Source organism: Homo sapiens, chromosome 2 (genome assembly GCF_000001405.40).
Source record: "Homo sapiens chromosome 2, GRCh38.p14 Primary Assembly".
NCBI lineage: Eukaryota > Metazoa > Chordata > Mammalia > Primates > Hominidae > Homo > Homo sapiens.
The window spans coordinates 20132486-20149358 of NC_000002.12; the positions used below are offsets into that span (position 1 = coordinate 20132486).

The window sequence follows — 16873 nt, forward strand, 5'->3', positions numbered from 1 at the left end:
GTCACCTCCCACCAGGCCCCACCTCCAACATTGGAGATTACAATTCAACATGAGATTTGGGCAGAGACACAGACCCAAACCACATCAGAGGGTATGCAAGATAAAGTTGAAGAAATCTCCTAGAAATCAGGAAGAAAAAAAAAAAAAACAAGAGATGGAAAGTAGGAGAGAAGATTTAAAATATTGGAGGCTTAGCCCAGGAGATCTAATATGGAAATAACAGAAATTACAGAGAAAAAAGAGCCAGGCAAGGGATGAAAACAGGCCCATGCCAAGCATATCTTTGTGAAATTTCAGGCAGCTGGGGACAATGGAATTCCACAAGCTTTCAGATGGGGCAGAAAACAGGTGACATGCAAAAGATGAGGACTCGGAATGATTCTGATAACTCATCAGCAGCGCTGGGACACAAGAAGACAGCAAAGGCAAACCCAAAATGCTGGAGGGACACGCTCTCCAAGCCGACTCCTCTATCCAGCCAAATACTAATTATGTATGAGGCTAAAGACACTTTTAGTCGTGCGATATTGCAAGAAAATTTCCTCCCATGCAACATTTCTCAAGAAGCTACTGGAGAATGTGCTCCTCCAAACTGAGAGTTAACAGAAGGGAAGACACAGGACATAGGAAACGGCACAGCCAGCATGGAGAGGAGGCAAGGAGCAGTCCGTAGGAGGGTAGTGCAGGAGGACAGCACTGCACAAGACAGGGAGGGCAGCTGGTCCCCGAGGGGGTGGCACAATGCCAGCAAGAGGTACATCGAGGGCTGTCGCAGCGTCACTGCCACCGGACAGTCTTTCCAACCTGAGGACAGGAGGCTCCGGTGAGCCTGGCCCCAGTTTTGATTTGCCCTTGCCTTGTCTTGACCATGTGCTGTGCAGTCTGTGCCCACCCCTCCTTGCCTGCTGCCACCCCCACCTCAGTGTGATCTGCCCTGCTCCTGAGAACTGGATGTGGGCCATAGTGAGCTTAGAAGGAAAAAACACCAAACAGCTCCCTCCTCTTGCCAGGTGTCCGGTATCTGGCTCACATCACAGCCCTGCCCGATGCCTTAGTTATAGGGAGCCTGTGTTTCCCTAGGCTCACTCATGGTCTTGTCCAGTGATGTCCCCAGAAAGGACTTTTGTAAACTGTTAGAAAAAAAATTAGCCAGACGTGGTGGCACACACCTATAATCCTAGCTACTCAGGAGGCTAAGGTGTGAGGATCGCTTGAACCCGGGAGGTAGAGGGTGCAGTGAGCCAAGATCGCAACACTGCACTCCAGCCTGGGTGACAGAGTGACACTCCATTGAAAAAAAAAAAAAAGACTTCTTAGATATTAGTAATACCATATTTAATGGGCACACGGTGTTCCTTTTTGGAAGATTCATTCAGTTGTATCTGTTTTATACACTCTTCTGAATGTATGAAACATGTCACTGTAAAGACTGTTTACAGTGGGGCACATGGGAGGGTCCTGGAGCGCTGGCAATAGCCTATTTCTTCAGTTGGGTGACTGTTATATAGGTCTTTACTTTATAACGATTTGCTAAAGTGTACATTTATGTTTCATGCACTTTTCTGTGTGTGATATATCCTACAATAAAATCTTAAAAGAAAAAAGAGATGGTCTGCTGTGCTGTTTTGTGGTATCACTCACCCCACTTTCTGGCTCCCAGATTTCAACACTCAGCCTTTCATTGGTGTCCTTTAGGGAATAAAGGACCTCGGGTGTGTCTGGTGGAGGGCGACACTGTACAGAGAGCAAGAAGAGAACAAGCAGAAGCACAGCAAAGAAGAGAGAAGAGACCTGAATAAAACTCACTGTCCCCTAGACCCCCTGAAGACATGGGAAGGGAAAACATCTTGGGATCTTCACCTCATGTGTGATAGGGACCCAAGCCAATTCATGCAAATATTACAGAAAAGTGTAATCCCATAACATTGCAGAATTTAAAGCCACCCTAACGACTCAGATGTGGGTTATGCCCAAAGCAAGCAGGATGCTGGGTGTGGGCACGTTTATAAGTGCCCAGCTGGCTTAAAGGGTTAAGAACTGCCACTCTTTGCTAGGATTGCTTTTCCCATCCTTTCTGCCTGGTGAGTTTTTCTAAGAGTGGTAGGGCTTCACTCCAGCTAGTTTTCACAGAAAAGCAAGTTATTGAAAGGCATTTTGAAGCTCATGGGATCTCCAGGAGACCAAAGAGTCAGACTTGGATGCCACGGAGCTAAGAATAATACCTAAGACTCACAGCAGAGGCTGCCCCCCGACCCCAGAAAGCTCTGCTCCAGTGTGACCCCAGAACTCTGCCACCGTTGCCCTGAAGGGCCAGAGACCTCCGCCACCCCATTCTCTATAGAGGACCCCCTACGAGTCTCACGTAGGGACATTGGTCATAATGACTGCCCCCTGAGGAGGGTGGGGAGTGAGTTCTGGCTTCTACCTTGATTGGGACAGACTCAAAATATGGAAAATTCTCCAGTTTGGGAATTGCGTGCAAAAGATGCAGGGGGGGCCAGATATTTGCTGTGGGGAGGATCGAGTGGAAGCAACTGGGTGGAGTTTATTCTCAAGCCTGAGGCAGCTGCCAGAAAAACAGGACTGAAGGGCACCAGGCTGCGTGAGGACCCCGGTGCCAGGCTGGGTTTAGGGTGCAGTGGATGGGGCTGAGCCCCTCTCCCATCCATAAGTCCTGCCTGGATGCCAGCTCCCACCCTGGGGCCATGGCTCCAAGACCACCTTGAATAATCCATGTGCCTGCAGCCCTACCTACCCTGCATTAAATCATCCACTCCTCATCACCAGGAACCAGGACCAGGTGAGCCTCGGATCTTCATAGCCCGTCTCACCTGCTGCACTTCTCTTCACTACCTGAGTCCTTAGGGCCTAGAAAGCCTCACGCAAATCCTAACCAAGCGACCACAGGTGGAGGACAGTGACATCTGGAGCATCTGATGGAGGCTCTGGGGCAGTTCAGAAGAAAGGCCTTTTTTTTTTTTTTTTTTTTTTTTGAGACAGGGTCACTCGATCTCGGCTCACTGCAACCTCTGCCTCCGAGGTTCAAGTGATTCTCATGCTTCAGCTCCCCCAAGTAGGTGGGATTACAGGTGCGTGCCACCATGACTGGCTAATTTTTGTATTTTTTGGTAGAGACAGGGTTTCACCATGTTGGCCAGGCTGGTTTCGAACTCCTGACCTCAAGTGTTTCTCCCACCTCAGCCTCCCCAAGTGCTGGGATTACAGACGAGAGCCACCGCGCCTGGCCTGAGAAAGGCTTTTTCTATGCCACAGAGAAGTTGGGCTCCCAGTCACGGGAGCAGCTGCGGCCGGTTCCAGCAGGGGGCAGCTCTCAATGACAGCTGAAGGGCATTGCATAGCCAGATGCGCACATGGCTTTTAGGAACTGGGCTCTGCCTCCCCTGAAGTCTGTCTGAACCTGGGGCATCACCGTCTCACCGGGCTGGGGCTTTGATGCATCAGGCCCAGAGAAAGAAACTTGGTAGAGGAGAGGAGGAAGGAGATGCAACCTTCCAGGAAGCAGAAATGTTCAAGGACTCTCAAAGGAAACTCCAGAAAACAAGGAGAGGCAGGAATTGCCTTATGATCGCTTCTAGCTCTATGTCTCACCTTTGAAATAAAGCATCTTCCTGGTCCCAGTGCAGAGACAGGTCCTGGGGGGAAGCAGGAGAGGAGAGAATCAGCTCCTGTTCTCCTGTCTGCCTCAACTTCCCCAGGCCTACCCAGCCCACCTGGGCTAGGACGGAGGTGCTGGCAGCCTCTCCCCATTAACCACACCCTGCAGGCTGAGGCGGGCAGGCTGAGGCGGGCAGGCTGGGGGCTGAGGAGACGCTCCTTCCCTGCATTCCATGGACATGGTGCCTTGGGCCAGGCTGCAGAGGCCGCAGGGCCTGGCATGTGCCCCGTGAAACTGGCCCTGCAGTGAGGCGGGGGCAGTGGGGATGGATGAACTCATTCTTTCCTCGTCTGAGGCTGCTCTGATCGTAAAACCGTGGACGCTGAGCAAATGGCCCCAGGTGTGTGCTCTCTCAGTTTCGCTGGGATAATAGTCAGGAACAGCAAGAGGGTGACCTGGTTTCGATGGAGCAGCTCCTGCTCTGGGCACTACGTGGCTCTGCTGCCTCTGCTCTCCTGTCCTCTCCCCACCCCGTTTTGGAGGGCCAGGCCTTCACCAAAGCCTGAAGGAACCTCAGCAAGAGTGCAAAGGGGGTGCTGTCAGAGGTGCCCCAGGAAAAGACCCTTCTCCAGAGAGAGGCTCTGCGGAGAGGCCCGGGGTGCCTAGAGAGGGGAAAGCACCCTGCACCTACCTCGAGGGGCCTCCTGCTCACAGCCCCCTTGAGTCACTGTTTACTCCACAAAGATCTAAACTCAGATCAGGCAGGACCCTTCGAGTCTGTCTCATCACTAAAACTGCTTCATTTTACAGATGGGGAAACTGAGACCCAAAATGAAGGGCGCAGTCGCCGAGTCAGCCAGTGACAGAGCTGGGGCTTCACTCCCGCTTCTCGATTCTCAGCTCCCATCCTCGTCCCTCTGCCTTTTATGGAGCAGCATGGAAGGAATCAAAAACAGGCAGAGAACTTCAGGGGCCACTCTGGGCTGCTGTGAGTGAAGACTAGAGTTTGTGGGTGCAGTGCCTCCGGCTGCAGCTCTCCAGGCCCACACAGACCTGCTCCTGACACTCCTGGGGGTGCGCTGCCTGGGGGTCTTCCCTCCCCAGCCCTTCCCCAAGGTACAGTGAGTGCCTCAGGTCCTCCAGCTGCCCCTCTCCCAGTGGGAACTCACACTAGACATGCGAGGGCAGTCAAGGAGAGCGCTTTCCTCGCTCGAGGATATGGGAGAGCTTTCCACCCTCCTCCTCAGGCCCCGGAGGCAGCGAGTGTGCCTGTCAGGGTTATCAGGGTGCTCTGGGAAGGGCTCCACCTCCCCCGCAGGCTTCGCCAGAATGCCCAACTGGGCTGCTCTCACTGCCTTTGACCTTCAGAACTCCCAAAATACTCCCACCTCCTCCAGGAAGAAGGCGGGGTAGTGGGGGCTTTGGAGACCAATAAGCCAGGGCCTGACTCCTAACTGGCCACCTAATAGCTTTGTGACCTTGAGCAAGTGCCCTGGTCTTCCTGAGGGCGTGTTCTCAAGCTTCTCCGTTGTGTGGTTTTAGTGAGGGCTGGAGATGGCGACACGTAGTAGACTCTCAATTCATGGTGGCTCTTATTATTAAAGCTGGCCAGGATGTCCCTTCTGACCCCCAACCCTCCAGTTCCCATAGTGCTGGGCCTTGTAACTGTCACTGTCCTGTGTATGGGGTCAGGCTCTGGCCTCCCTCCCTCGCAACCCCTTCGGGGCAGGGTGAGAGTAAACAGGTCCCCTAGGTGTGGGACAGACGCCCGCTGCCCTCCTCCTGCCTTATTCATTCTCTCCAAAAACATTAATCACTGGTGGATGGACAAACTGTAGGGCACCCGTATGATGGAATGACCCCAGCAATAAGGAAGAACAAAATAGTAATACAATGAATGACATGGATGACTCTCAAGGCACTGCGCTGAAGTTCAGCAGTTAAATGAAAGCCGCCTAACTCAAAAGGCTGCAGACTCCGCCGCTCCCTGCGTCTGAACTCCAGGGAGGGCCACGCTGCAGCCAGAAAGCAGGTCAGGGCTTGCCTGAGGTGGGATGTGGGAGCGGGGATTGATTGCAATGGGGAATGAGGGAATTTTATGGGGGGATAAAAAAAATCAATGTTTCATTTGATGGTAGGTAGGTGGCTATTTCCATTTGGCAGAGCTTATCAAACTGTATGCGTAAAACAAGCAAATTCTACAGTATGCAAACTACACCATAACGAAGCTGGCAGAGTAAAGACCTTCCAGTTTGGAAACTATGATCTGGGAAGTGACCCATATTGCCTGGCCAGATACACGAGGGAAGAGTCATCTCCCTAGGAAACGCTTAAGAAAGGCTCAGTCCTTAAAAGAAATAAGAAACTGAGTGACCAGAAAAAATGAGGGAGAATTTGAAGAAATACAGTACCAGGGCATCATAGAAGAGCTGGCTTTAAATAGACTACAGATAGTGCACTCAAGTCTTAGTGCATTTGTACGCTGCCTGAATTACCTGACCTTGGTCCCTTATCTGATATCCTCATCCCCCCGGGCTCTACCTGAAAAAAAAGCTCACACGCATCTTTCATAAATAATAAGAAGCTATCCTTTAATGAGATGATATTTTATCTCTCCTGGCCCAGGACGGGGAAGGCGCCCGGCCCCTCTTGAGTCACCAGGCTCTTATGCAGTGGAGTTTCTCTCCTCTGCTTGCTTCCAGAGCCTTCTGCAGGCTACCAAGACAAAGCTTTCTCCCATTCCTCTGGGCCCGGTCCTTCTGCTCTCTGCTGCTGCCCTCTCTGTCCCCATTCCTCCTCTGCCTCTGGAATGATAGCATCTCCCAGTGGCTTTCATGTTGGAGTGCTGGCTCCTTAACTTAAGGTCAGCTTCTGAGGGCAGAAGGCTTGTCCCATTTTCTCTCCTTCCCTCTGCCCTCTCCTTTGGAATAAACGCACACATTCACCAATGCAGCCATTGACTGTGTGGCTCGCCCACACTGTTCAGGAGAGAGGCCCAGCTCCATCTAGCTTGAGCCCAAAGGAAATTTATTGGGCCACATTCCTGAGAAGTCCAGGACGTGTCAGCTAGGTTGAGACACAGCTGGATTCAGGATTGACAATCTCTTTTCCTGTCTCACTCTCTGTCTGCCTCTGTCTCAATGTCTTCTTCCCTTCCTCTCCTCCCTTCCCCTTCTTCTCCCTAATATCTTTCTCTCTCTAAGTAAGTATCCCCTGAGTATACTTCCTCACTCCTCCTTAAGCCCGAAAACAAAAGAACAAGACACAATAAATCCCTCATGTAAATGGTCATCCCTGACCTGGGGAAGTCCAAGATATCAAAAGCACAGCCTATTATTTTATCTATTCTTTCTAGTTGTGTATATAGCTGACTTTTCTGCTAGACTTTCCTTGTGTCCTCAAGGTGCCTGGCACAGGCCCAGGTACATGGCAGCCCCCAGCCCCACCCCAGATAGGATGTGACACTTGGTTGGGGTGAGGTCAGAGTGGGAAAGGGAAGAATCAGGGTCGGGGATGGGTCAAGGCTGGGGAGCGGCTGAGGGGAGGATCCTTTTGAGCTGTTCATTCCCTCCTGGTATTTTTGCCCATGAGGCCCTGCAGAGTAGGAACAAACTCCGCACATGCCTGTCTTCCTCCCAGAGCCCTCCACCCCCAATAAGCATCAGCCTGGGGGGCTGGGGCTGCGGGCTGAGGCCTGGGACAGAGTCCTGGTCAGCATCAGCCTAGCTGATGCCAATTAAGACCCAGGAATCCCCTGCCCCTACCCCTGGGCTCAGATCAAAAGACCTTGGCCCTCAGATGAGGGGCTCCTGACCATAAATCTGAAGGAGCACGGCCCTCCAGCTAATGAGCTGTCCTGGCTCAGACTAGAGCAGGGATGCCAGATCCTGTTTCATTCCAGGGTGCAGCCAGCCCAGAGTGAAGGGCCGCGGGAGGCCCTAGACCCCAGAGTGCCCATCCCCCCACAGCACCCGGCTTTGCAGGGACAGGCCCCGCTCTGCTCATAATCCCTGGGGCAATGTCCTGGAGGGTACATGAGAATGCACACTGTTCCCTGGGCTCCTGCCCTGCCGGGCCCCAAGATGGCTCCCTGTGCCCACCGTTTAGCCCCACAGGAATTTTAACCGCTAACATCTGGGTTCAGGAGACTCCGGAAGAGCAAACGTCTTCACCTCCTTTGATTCCCTTCACACAGAGGGCTTTTTCAATTTTAATTTGAGGTGACCTCTGACCTGAGTTCCCATTCTCATAGATTCCAGATATTTCCTGTGCCCTCAAATAACCTCCAAGCCTGCCCCCACCTGATCAGAGCCCCTGCGGAGGGGGCATGGCCTTCACCCACCCATGGCCCAGGCTAGGCTGGGAGTCCCCCTGGACTCCGGCCCCCTCCCCATATCCCACTCTGTTCCCCCAAAGATGCCTGCACAGCCACCCACCCACCAGTATCTCTCCAGGGCTCTCAGCTCCAGTATCTCAGCTGGGCCCAGCTGAGCCTGCTCTCAGGACACGAGGGATGGCAGACACCCCGGTGCCAACCTCTCTGGCTGTCATGTTTTTTAATGACAACAATCATAGAAACATCGGTGGAGCCTCTTCTCTGTGTCAGGTGACCCAGTAGCTCAAGAATAATTGCTCCTAATTTACAGATGAGGAAGCCGGCCCTGGAGAAGAAGAGGGACTTCGTGTACACACAGCTAGCTGTGGCCAAGCCAGACCATAACTGAGGTGTGTCAGCCCGGAGCCCGGTGCCCTCCAGGAAGAGGGGTCAGCAAAGGGATGCTGGCATTGGTGCATCTCCCCTGCTTTGTGAGTCCTGGTTTGGGCTGCCCATCTCAGCGTTGTGACCATCAGCACAAAGCACCAAGGGTCTTGGCAAAAGGCAGAGATGACAGAGAAGTGAGAAGCAGGCATGGGGGTGGGAAGGGCTGGTCAGACCTCAGCTCCGCCCCTGTCTCTTTCCAAAGTAGCTTTTGGATTGAGGTGGATAGTTCCCTCAGTTCCCATGAGGAGTCCAGCACGGTGCTAAGCTGGGCTGTGCAGGGGGCTACAAGAGCAGGCAAGTCCCAGTCCCTGTCTCAGAGGGGCTGAGAGACAAGCAGAGGTACAGGGACATGAGCAAGGCAGCCCCAGGACCAAAGTCAGGCCGAGGGGGTCAGGCTGGGTAGGCTGCTTGCAGGTAGGGAATTTGCTGCAGGTCTGGGTTACAGAGAGGCCCAAGTCCCATGCCCACATGGTGCTAGGTCAGGGCCCTGGCAGCCATCCCTCTAGGATGGCCACTCCCAACAAGGGCCTATGGCTCTCCAGAGCCCAGAACCTGAACACATCCAGGCCAGAGCCACGGGATGATGCACTGGCCCCTGCCCCATGGGTAAGAGGCTGAATGGCACATTAGGCAACCTCTCTGGCTCCAAACCCCAGCTGGCTGCCAGCCTCAGCCTCCTAGTCGATGGTTTGACCACATGACTCCCCATTAAAGCCTTTCCCTGGCTCTCCATCCTGCCCCTCGTCATGCCCGGTGACTCACGCTGCTTTTCCAGGCCCAGCTCACCACGGCTGACATCACCTTCAGCTCCACCCCTTTCCCAGCAAACCCTGATGAGCCCTCTCTTTCCTCTGACCCATTGTCCTCCTCGGAATCAAGAATGCTAGAGCCAAAAGCTATCTCAGGGAACATCTGGAGCAGCCTCACTTACAGCTGGGGAAACTGAGACCTGAGAGATGCCCCGCTGGCGTTTGTTCTAGTTCAGAGGCTGTGATTCATTTAGAACTTTAATGAAAGGATTTAGGGCTCAGTTAGGATCTTAGGGCAAATCATCGCTGCTCTGCCAGTAACTAAGCCCTTACCCTTACGCCTGCCCAGCAGGGTCCTGGAAATCAATCTCCAGATTCCGCCGGGTCCAGGGCTGCCCCATAGGTGCTGAGGCACTGGAGACAACAGGAGGTCTGGGATGGCCCCCAGCCCCTCCCTCTACCCAAATCGGGGCATGGCTAATTCTTTCTCTAAGAGATCCATTGCTTTAAAGTCCAGAGTAGAAGGGAAGAAACAGGTGTCAATTTCTGCCAGGAAAATGAGATCGAGCTGCAACCTCAGAGAAGCCTGGAGGGGTACTGTTAACGGGAACCCTCTGAGGCTCTGGGGCTGAAAAGAAAATCAAGGAGGAACAAGCAATCAAGGTTTTCATGGAAGCCTTGGGCTTCAGAAATAAGGCATCCCTGGAACGTGGTTTCTAAAGCATCACCTGAGAACTTGGGAGAAATAAAAAATGCAAATCCTCAGGCCCCACCTGAGACCTACCAAATCACACACTTTGTTTTGGGATCCCTCAAGCCCTCCAGATGATTCTGATGCATGCTCAAATTTGAACACCACTGCCATAAAGGACAACCAAAGCAGTAAGCAGGTCTCATAGCTGGTCAGCCCTGTTGGTCCTGGCCTGTGGTGGGTTCGCTGAGGCTCCACAGCCCGCTCTGCTTACCCATGTTATGGACCCCTCCCAGCCAAAACAGGCAGGATTTCTGCAGGCAGCTTATTCCAGAAGGGCTTGGAATGAGCCTTGTGGCCCAAGATGTGCTCTGGGAACATGGAGAGCCTCAAAGTCACCCACCCCTTCCATTTGCCTCTGCCCATACAAAAGGAATTCTGCCTCAGTTTCCCTGCTTTTCATTCCAACCCACCACTGGCCTTAGAACTCTGCCCTGGACCTCAGCCTGCTTCCCTGGGCACTGTTACCATGCCATGCATGGTGGCTGGCCTCCTCACCGAGGTCTCATCCTGCTCCTGTACCCCAGCTGCTGACTGAGGTGATTTGCAGACTGACAACACATTTATTACTGTGCTGTGGCTGCCCTGGGCCCCCAGGTACATGTGTGTGGATTGTCTACTGAACAAGGGCAGATGGCCAAGGAAGCAAGTGGAGGAATGAAATCCAGCTCACTTTCCACTCACCCACATCCCCTAGGGCGAGGTGGCACTAATTTGCAGGTATGCATTAGAGGGTCTAGTGCTTGAATGTCACACTCCCTTTCCCGAAGCTCCTGTTTCTGAGGTGACCCTCCCCTCCCCCTGCCTTCCCATTTCTACACCAGCCAGACCTCCCTATCTCTTCATGTCTACACCAACTGGACACCCACCCTTTCAAACGGGCCATGCCCTCCTTATCTTCTCTCTTAGGGGTCTCTTGGCTGGCTCAGTTGTCCCACCATTTCTCTCCTTATTCCTCATCCTCACAGACTTTCCCGTCATGTTGATGATGACATAATAACCAGCAGACAAAACATCTTTGTTGATAGAAGTTTGAGGTCATTTCATTACAGCATCTCCTAAGACATTCCATTCAGGGACGTGCCTGCCAGGCTGCTGGAAATGCCTGCCTTTTATGGCCTGCTTGGTTTGGTCACTTGTAACTTCTGCACATGATAGGCCCTGGGCTCCCTCTACCCTAGGGCAACCCCATAGAGACCTGAAAATCCTGTTCACGACTTGCCCCACCCGAATCTTGTCTTCCCAGCCCCTTGAATGAGTCCATGTGTGGCTTGGGCTCTCTCATCACCGCAGGTTAAACTGCCATGTAATTGATTTTTTTTCCAGGCAATTGAACACATATCAGTAGGCACCTAACTTTTCTCTTTTAACCACTTGGATTAAGAAAAATCTTTCCAAAACATAATATATTCTTCTCTACCTCTTGGAATAAATGAAAGCAGACATAATGTGCTTTTTCTTGGGGCCTCTACATAATAATAGTTTTTTTGAGCTACTGTAAAGTGTTTTTAATAACTCAAATCACTTCATAATCACCATGGGGAGAAAACAGAAAATACAGATATATAGAAAGGAAAAAGAAGGGCATCCCTTGATATCTTACCAGCTGGAGGCAATGACTAATAACTTTTTGTTGTATAACTTTCTGGGCTTTTTCCTAAGCAAGCACAGTTCCCCAGTTTGGGGTGCAAATGTAATCCCTCTTATTTATTCAATAATTGCTTGAGCTCCCATACGCCCATATTAACAGGAAGTCATGCCTCTTTACCCCTTCTTACCCCTTATTCCTCACCCACTCCCCCAAGGAAATTGGGGCCAAACTTGGTCCTACAGGTAATTCTGATTGCAAATGGCAATCAGAGAGAAACTGGAGAGTCAGGAGGTCCTGATTTCCATTGTTTCTTGCACAGTACCATGTGTCTCTAAAGAAAATGGTCTTGCAAAGTCTGATGAGATCCTGCCTCACTGGTCCTGACCCTTATGTGGTCCACAGAGGTGTGCCAACTTTGGGCTCCAAGGCCACTGCTCTTGTAAGCTCATACTTCCAAGGTTAGCCAGGCTCCCAAATAGCGCACAGCCCTGGTAGAGCTGAGCCCAGGAGGGCTTCTGTCCTCAGCCACACTCCATGCCACAGGAATATGGAGGCCCTGGGGTTGAGCCTGGTCACCAACTCTGACCCCCTTTCTTCCTGGTGCCATTCCCTTGAGGGGCTGTGGGGATTCTATTCCTGGGGCACTTCATCTCAAACTTCATCAGGAAAATTCCAACTTTAACACGGCAAACGTCTTTGTCTTCATCTCTTTCTTCCCAGATGTTCCTTGGCCCCAAGCAAATTATCTCCCTGCTCTTCCATGTAGGGACTAGAGGGTCCTGCACTCCTCAGGCCACCCAGGAACCAGTTCCCCCTTGCCCCACTAGCCTAACATGTGAATAGCCAAGAGGGACCACTCAAAGGACAGTTTCCTGAACAAAGAAGACCTGTTCTTAACCAGCTGGATAAAGAAGGAGCTGATGGCAACTTTTATTAAAAAGAAAGAAAAGTTCCGAACCAGGAAACTTGCCATACACCCATTCGCCAGATGACAACATTGAGATTACTCACTTCTTGAAAGAGCCCAGCCTCTAGCACTGGACATTTATCACAAAGCATTTCCTTCTTGCGTTGGGCATTCCTCTCTTGCTAGGAGGAACTGAGACTTCCCGTCCCCAGTCCCAGCCCTGAGGCCATGCAGCCTAGGGGTGGCTGGATTGAGCACTGCTTACTGGATTCAGGCCAGAGACTGCCACATTTTGTCCTCTGCTGCCTGGGTTAGGGAGACCTCTCCCTGTCAACTCAGGGGCATGGCAGGAGCGGGGCTGGAACAGTCTCTGCAGTCAGTTCCCTCCTGGACCACCGACGCTGGGAATGCAAGGGGTGGGTAGTTTGGTCTGTGCTTATGTGTTGATATTGTGAGATCATTTGAGAGAATTAAATATATTTTCCCAGATGGAAAGAAAAGGAAAAGGAAGGGGATGTTGAGTGTGGGAGCTGTTCATTCTTTCCAGCTTCTCTCCTTTCCCGCCATCCCACCCCACCTGTGGACCTGTGTTTGGCATTAGGGCACTCCTCTGTGCTTTGCTGGATTCTGATAGGGAGCACAGCCTGGTGTGGGGGGTGGGAGGACGGATGGTCTGCATCTTCCCTTCCCCTGCTCCAGTCCTTAGGCCAGTGCTTTCTGCACTGGGGGGTCAGGGGACATTGAAGGTGCCAGTCCAAATGCCAGTCAACACTGTGGGCAGGCCTGGCCAACACTGTCTGTGGATGCCAGACTCTGGGAAGAGAAGCACCCACGCTCAGAGATGGCCCACTCTCACTGGGCTCACAGCCAAACACACCCAGTTTTCTGGCCTCGGGCTGGGTGGGACAAGTGTATATCTCACCTGACAAGCCCTGTGAGCCTGACAAATGGAGGGAAAAAGCCACGACAGCAGCACCTCCCAGTGATCCGGAAGCTGGAGGAGGAGCAAGAGGACACAGGGTCTCTCCAAAAGGCAGAAGTGCGGGGGAGTGGCCTGGACATTGTAGAGCTGGGACAGCCAAGTCCCAGGGCAAGGGCACCAGGGGACATGGAGGAGTCCTTCCCTTGGGCCTCTCCAGAGAGGCTGCCTGGAGTTTTCACAGTTCACAAATGAGCAGAGGAAATTGTCCATGCGAACAGCCCTTAGGGGATCTCCCAGAGAGGTGTCTCGGGTGCTAGGGGAAGCCCAAACACCCCACTTCAGTTTTCACGTAGGAGGAGGAGAAGGCAATGACTTGTCTTGAAGCAGCCGCTGCCCAGCAAGCACACGATTTTTATTTAAATTGAAGGTTTATTTGGAGTGGGCTTGGGGGAGTACTTCTCATGCACACACTTTTTCTGTCTCCTCATTTCCCCAGCCCAATCCTCCCCACATTCCTCTGCCTTCCCGCCTCCCATTTTATTAGGTGTCAGTTGTCTGCTCCAAACCTTCAGTAGCTCCCATTTGTGATAAGGTGAAGTCCAAATCCCATAGCCTGCATTCAAGTTCTTCCACGGTTAGGGTGGACATACACCCCACTTTGTTTTGGATGATCTAGTTTATATCTGCTGTCTTGGCATAATAATTCATAGCACCCTGCTTCATGCAAAAATGTATCCCAGTTTGGAGAATAAATGATGTGGTCCACCCGTGTACAGTCCACTCCCAACCTCATGCTCCAGGCTAATGGCCAACTGTCTCTCTTGAATCCTCTGAGTCAGTGGTTTTGAACTCTGGTTGCTCATTAGAATCACCTGGGGAGCTTTTAATAAATATCACTACTTAGACTCACCCCCAAAACAGGTCAAATAAAACAGAATCTCTAGGGGCAGGACCCAGCCTTTGGTATTTTTTTAAGCATCCAGATGACTCTGATGTGCAGCCAGGGTGGAGAACAACTGACCTCAGTAAAACAGGTGTCCTGGAACTCTGTCCCTGAGCCCATCTTACACATTTCTGTCCCTAGTTTTTGGTAACTTGCTCCCATTGTCTATCCGCCATTTAACTCTTTCTTTTCCTCTGTGTGTGGTCTTTCATTCATTCTTTAAGTCCTACCCAAGCTGCTAAGCCTAGCTCCAATGCTGCCTCCTCCTACATCTTTCCTGACCTCTTAGCCAGAAAGGGTCTTCCTCTCTACCCACTACTGCCCCCTCCCTCCCCCACTATTGAATGTCATCTATGATCCACGCCCTGTTTTGCCTTCTTCACAGTCTATGAGCTCCATGGCATGGGTCATGTCTGATTAATCTCTGGAGACCCCAGGGCCCAGACCCAACTTACAGTAAAGCCTCTCACACCTGAGTGAGTGACTATCACTGCTGGTCCTGAACTTGGGCAGCGTCATCCACCCCGACACGGGGCACCAGCACATGCTGCCTCTACAAGTTAAGTTTCTTTTCCTGTGTGCGGGCTTTCATTCATTCATTCACTCACTCATTCTGCTTTGTGCCAGGCGCTGTGTTCTCCATCACCTCTTCTTGATTTCCTGTACTATTGGAGAACTGTCCTTTCTCTCTCATGTCCATCCCCTGGACAGCCCTGCAGACTGTCTTGCATATAAACGGTACTCAGTATTGATTGATAATCAACTGACGAATAGATAAACAAAAGTGGTGTGTCCTTACAATGAAATATTATTCAGCCATGAAAAGGAAATGAAGTACTGATACATGCTACAATATGAATAACCCTAAAAACATTATTCTAAGTGAAAGAAGCCAGGAACAAAAGACCACATAAACTGTATGCTATCATTTACATGCAAAGTACAGAATAGACAAATCCATAGAGACAAAAAGTAGATTAGTGGTTGCCAAGGGCTAGAAGAAGGGGGAAATTAAGATTAACTTTTGTTTTGTTTTGAGACAGAGTCTTGCTCTGTCGCCCAGGCTGGAGTGCAGTGGCCTGATCTTGGATCACTGCAACCTCCGCCTCCCAGGTTCAAGCAATTCTCCTGCCTCAGCCCCCTGAGTAGCTGGGATTACAGGTGTGTGCCACCATGCCTGGCTAATTTTTTTTTTTTTTTTGTATTTTTAGTAAAGACAGGGTTTCGCCATGTTGGTCAGGCTGGTCTCAAACTCCTGACCTCAAGTGATCCGCCCACCTCAGCCTCCCAAATTGTTGGGATTATAGGCGTGAGCCACAGCTCCTGGCCAGGACTAGCTGTTAATAGACACAGGTTTTCTTTTGGGGAGGATAGAAATGTTCTGGAATTGGGTAGTAGTGATGGTGGCACAACCTTGTGACTATACTAAAAACCACTGATTGTGCACTTAAGTGGCGAATTTGATGGCATTTGAATTATATCGTAATTAAAAAGAAATATGGATTGATGGATTTTTCTTTCTATACTCATATGTTCTCAAACCTTAAACTTTTATTCTTATTCACAGGAATCAACTGATATTACTGCTAAAAACATTGGTTTCTGGGCTTCACCTTGGAGCTTCAGATACAGCAGATTGGGGCAGCGCCCAGGAATCTGCATTTGATTGTTGTATTCTAAGTGCCATTTCCCTGTTCCCCAAAGGCTTGGGTCAGAGGATTTCTGAGCCAACCTCAGAACCTCAGAAGACAAATAAAATTCTTTAACCTATTATTTCAGAAAAAAAAAGCTGAAGATTTCAAACACAACCAAAACTTTGTTTTTAGTCTGCTTCTTATTAAAAACAGACTGGGACCCAAAGAAACCCCATCGGGGTAGGTAATGAAGTAATCATGATCATACTAAAAGAACAGAATGGAAAAACTGCCTGGCCTGGAGCAAACCACAGAAAAAATTGTCTTCTGCCTCCAGTGCTCAACTGAGCCATTCAGATGAAAATATCCCACTAGCCACATCGACAGCTTAATCTGGGGCAGGGGAGCTAGACATTAGTAAACCGCCACTCACTGCCCCCTATACAAATACATACTTACAGACACCCACTCCTACACACTCAAAATTCGAAGCTCTGGTATGTGCTCCATGATTAGGGCTTTCTTTGGGGTTACAAGGAAGCAGAGTTGTAAATCGGTATTAGAATGTGATCAAAAGGAATGTCTGTATGCAATTATTTTGTTTTGAGACCAGTGTTCAGAGGCACCGACTTTAAAGTGCTGGCTTGGTCACGTGGTGGCCTCTCACACACATAGGCGCATATGATTTTGGTCCCCACAAAAGAAGGAAGACAAAGGCCCGGGTTTTCTCTTTGTTGCTTCTTTGTTTCAGGACGGAGTCTCACCCCAACAGCTCAAAGCACCCTCTCCCCCATCTCCCCTGGCTGTCCATTCCCTAACTGTTACAAGAGGAAGTCTTGCTAATATAACCTCTTGCCCCGGAAAGTAGCAGTTACTGTAATTTGAGAACAGAGATCCCTTGCTTAACAGAAATTCACTTAACAAAACTTCAAATTAAACAAGAGGTCAGTGAAAGGAAATAACATTTGTGAGGCATGTCTACTGAGTTCTGGGCAGTG

General features: G+C 50.8%; 6 annotated features.

Annotated features, from left to right (window-relative positions):
* Positions 3453 to 4072: an enhancer, noted in NCBI's record as "H3K4me1 hESC enhancer chr2:20335699-20336318 (GRCh37/hg19 assembly coordinates)". NCBI's record gives its function as "activates a minimal SCP1, AML or CMV promoter by ChIP-STARR-seq in naive H9 embryonic stem cells {active_cell/tissue: H9 hESC(naive)}" and the evidence as "EXISTENCE:reporter gene assay evidence [ECO:0000049][PMID:30033119]".
* Positions 4073 to 4692: an enhancer, noted in NCBI's record as "H3K4me1 hESC enhancer chr2:20336319-20336938 (GRCh37/hg19 assembly coordinates)". NCBI's record gives its function as "activates a minimal SCP1, AML or CMV promoter by ChIP-STARR-seq in primed H9 embryonic stem cells {active_cell/tissue: H9 hESC(primed)}" and the evidence as "EXISTENCE:reporter gene assay evidence [ECO:0000049][PMID:30033119]".
* Positions 4693 to 5312: an enhancer, noted in NCBI's record as "H3K4me1 hESC enhancer chr2:20336939-20337558 (GRCh37/hg19 assembly coordinates)". NCBI's record gives its function as "activates a minimal SCP1, AML or CMV promoter by ChIP-STARR-seq in naive and primed H9 embryonic stem cells {active_cell/tissue: H9 hESC(naive and primed)}" and the evidence as "EXISTENCE:reporter gene assay evidence [ECO:0000049][PMID:30033119]".
* Positions 8794 to 9378: an enhancer, noted in NCBI's record as "H3K4me1 hESC enhancer chr2:20341040-20341624 (GRCh37/hg19 assembly coordinates)". NCBI's record gives its function as "activates a minimal SCP1, AML or CMV promoter by ChIP-STARR-seq in primed H9 embryonic stem cells {active_cell/tissue: H9 hESC(primed)}" and the evidence as "EXISTENCE:reporter gene assay evidence [ECO:0000049][PMID:30033119]".
* Positions 13130 to 13289: an enhancer, noted in NCBI's record as "active region_15375". NCBI's record gives its function as "activates an Ori minimal core promoter by ATAC-STARR-seq in GM12878 lymphoblastoid cells {active_cell/tissue: GM12878}" and the evidence as "EXISTENCE:reporter gene assay evidence [ECO:0000049][PMID:35858748]".
* Positions 13500 to 13579: an enhancer, noted in NCBI's record as "active region_15376". NCBI's record gives its function as "activates an Ori minimal core promoter by ATAC-STARR-seq in GM12878 lymphoblastoid cells {active_cell/tissue: GM12878}" and the evidence as "EXISTENCE:reporter gene assay evidence [ECO:0000049][PMID:35858748]".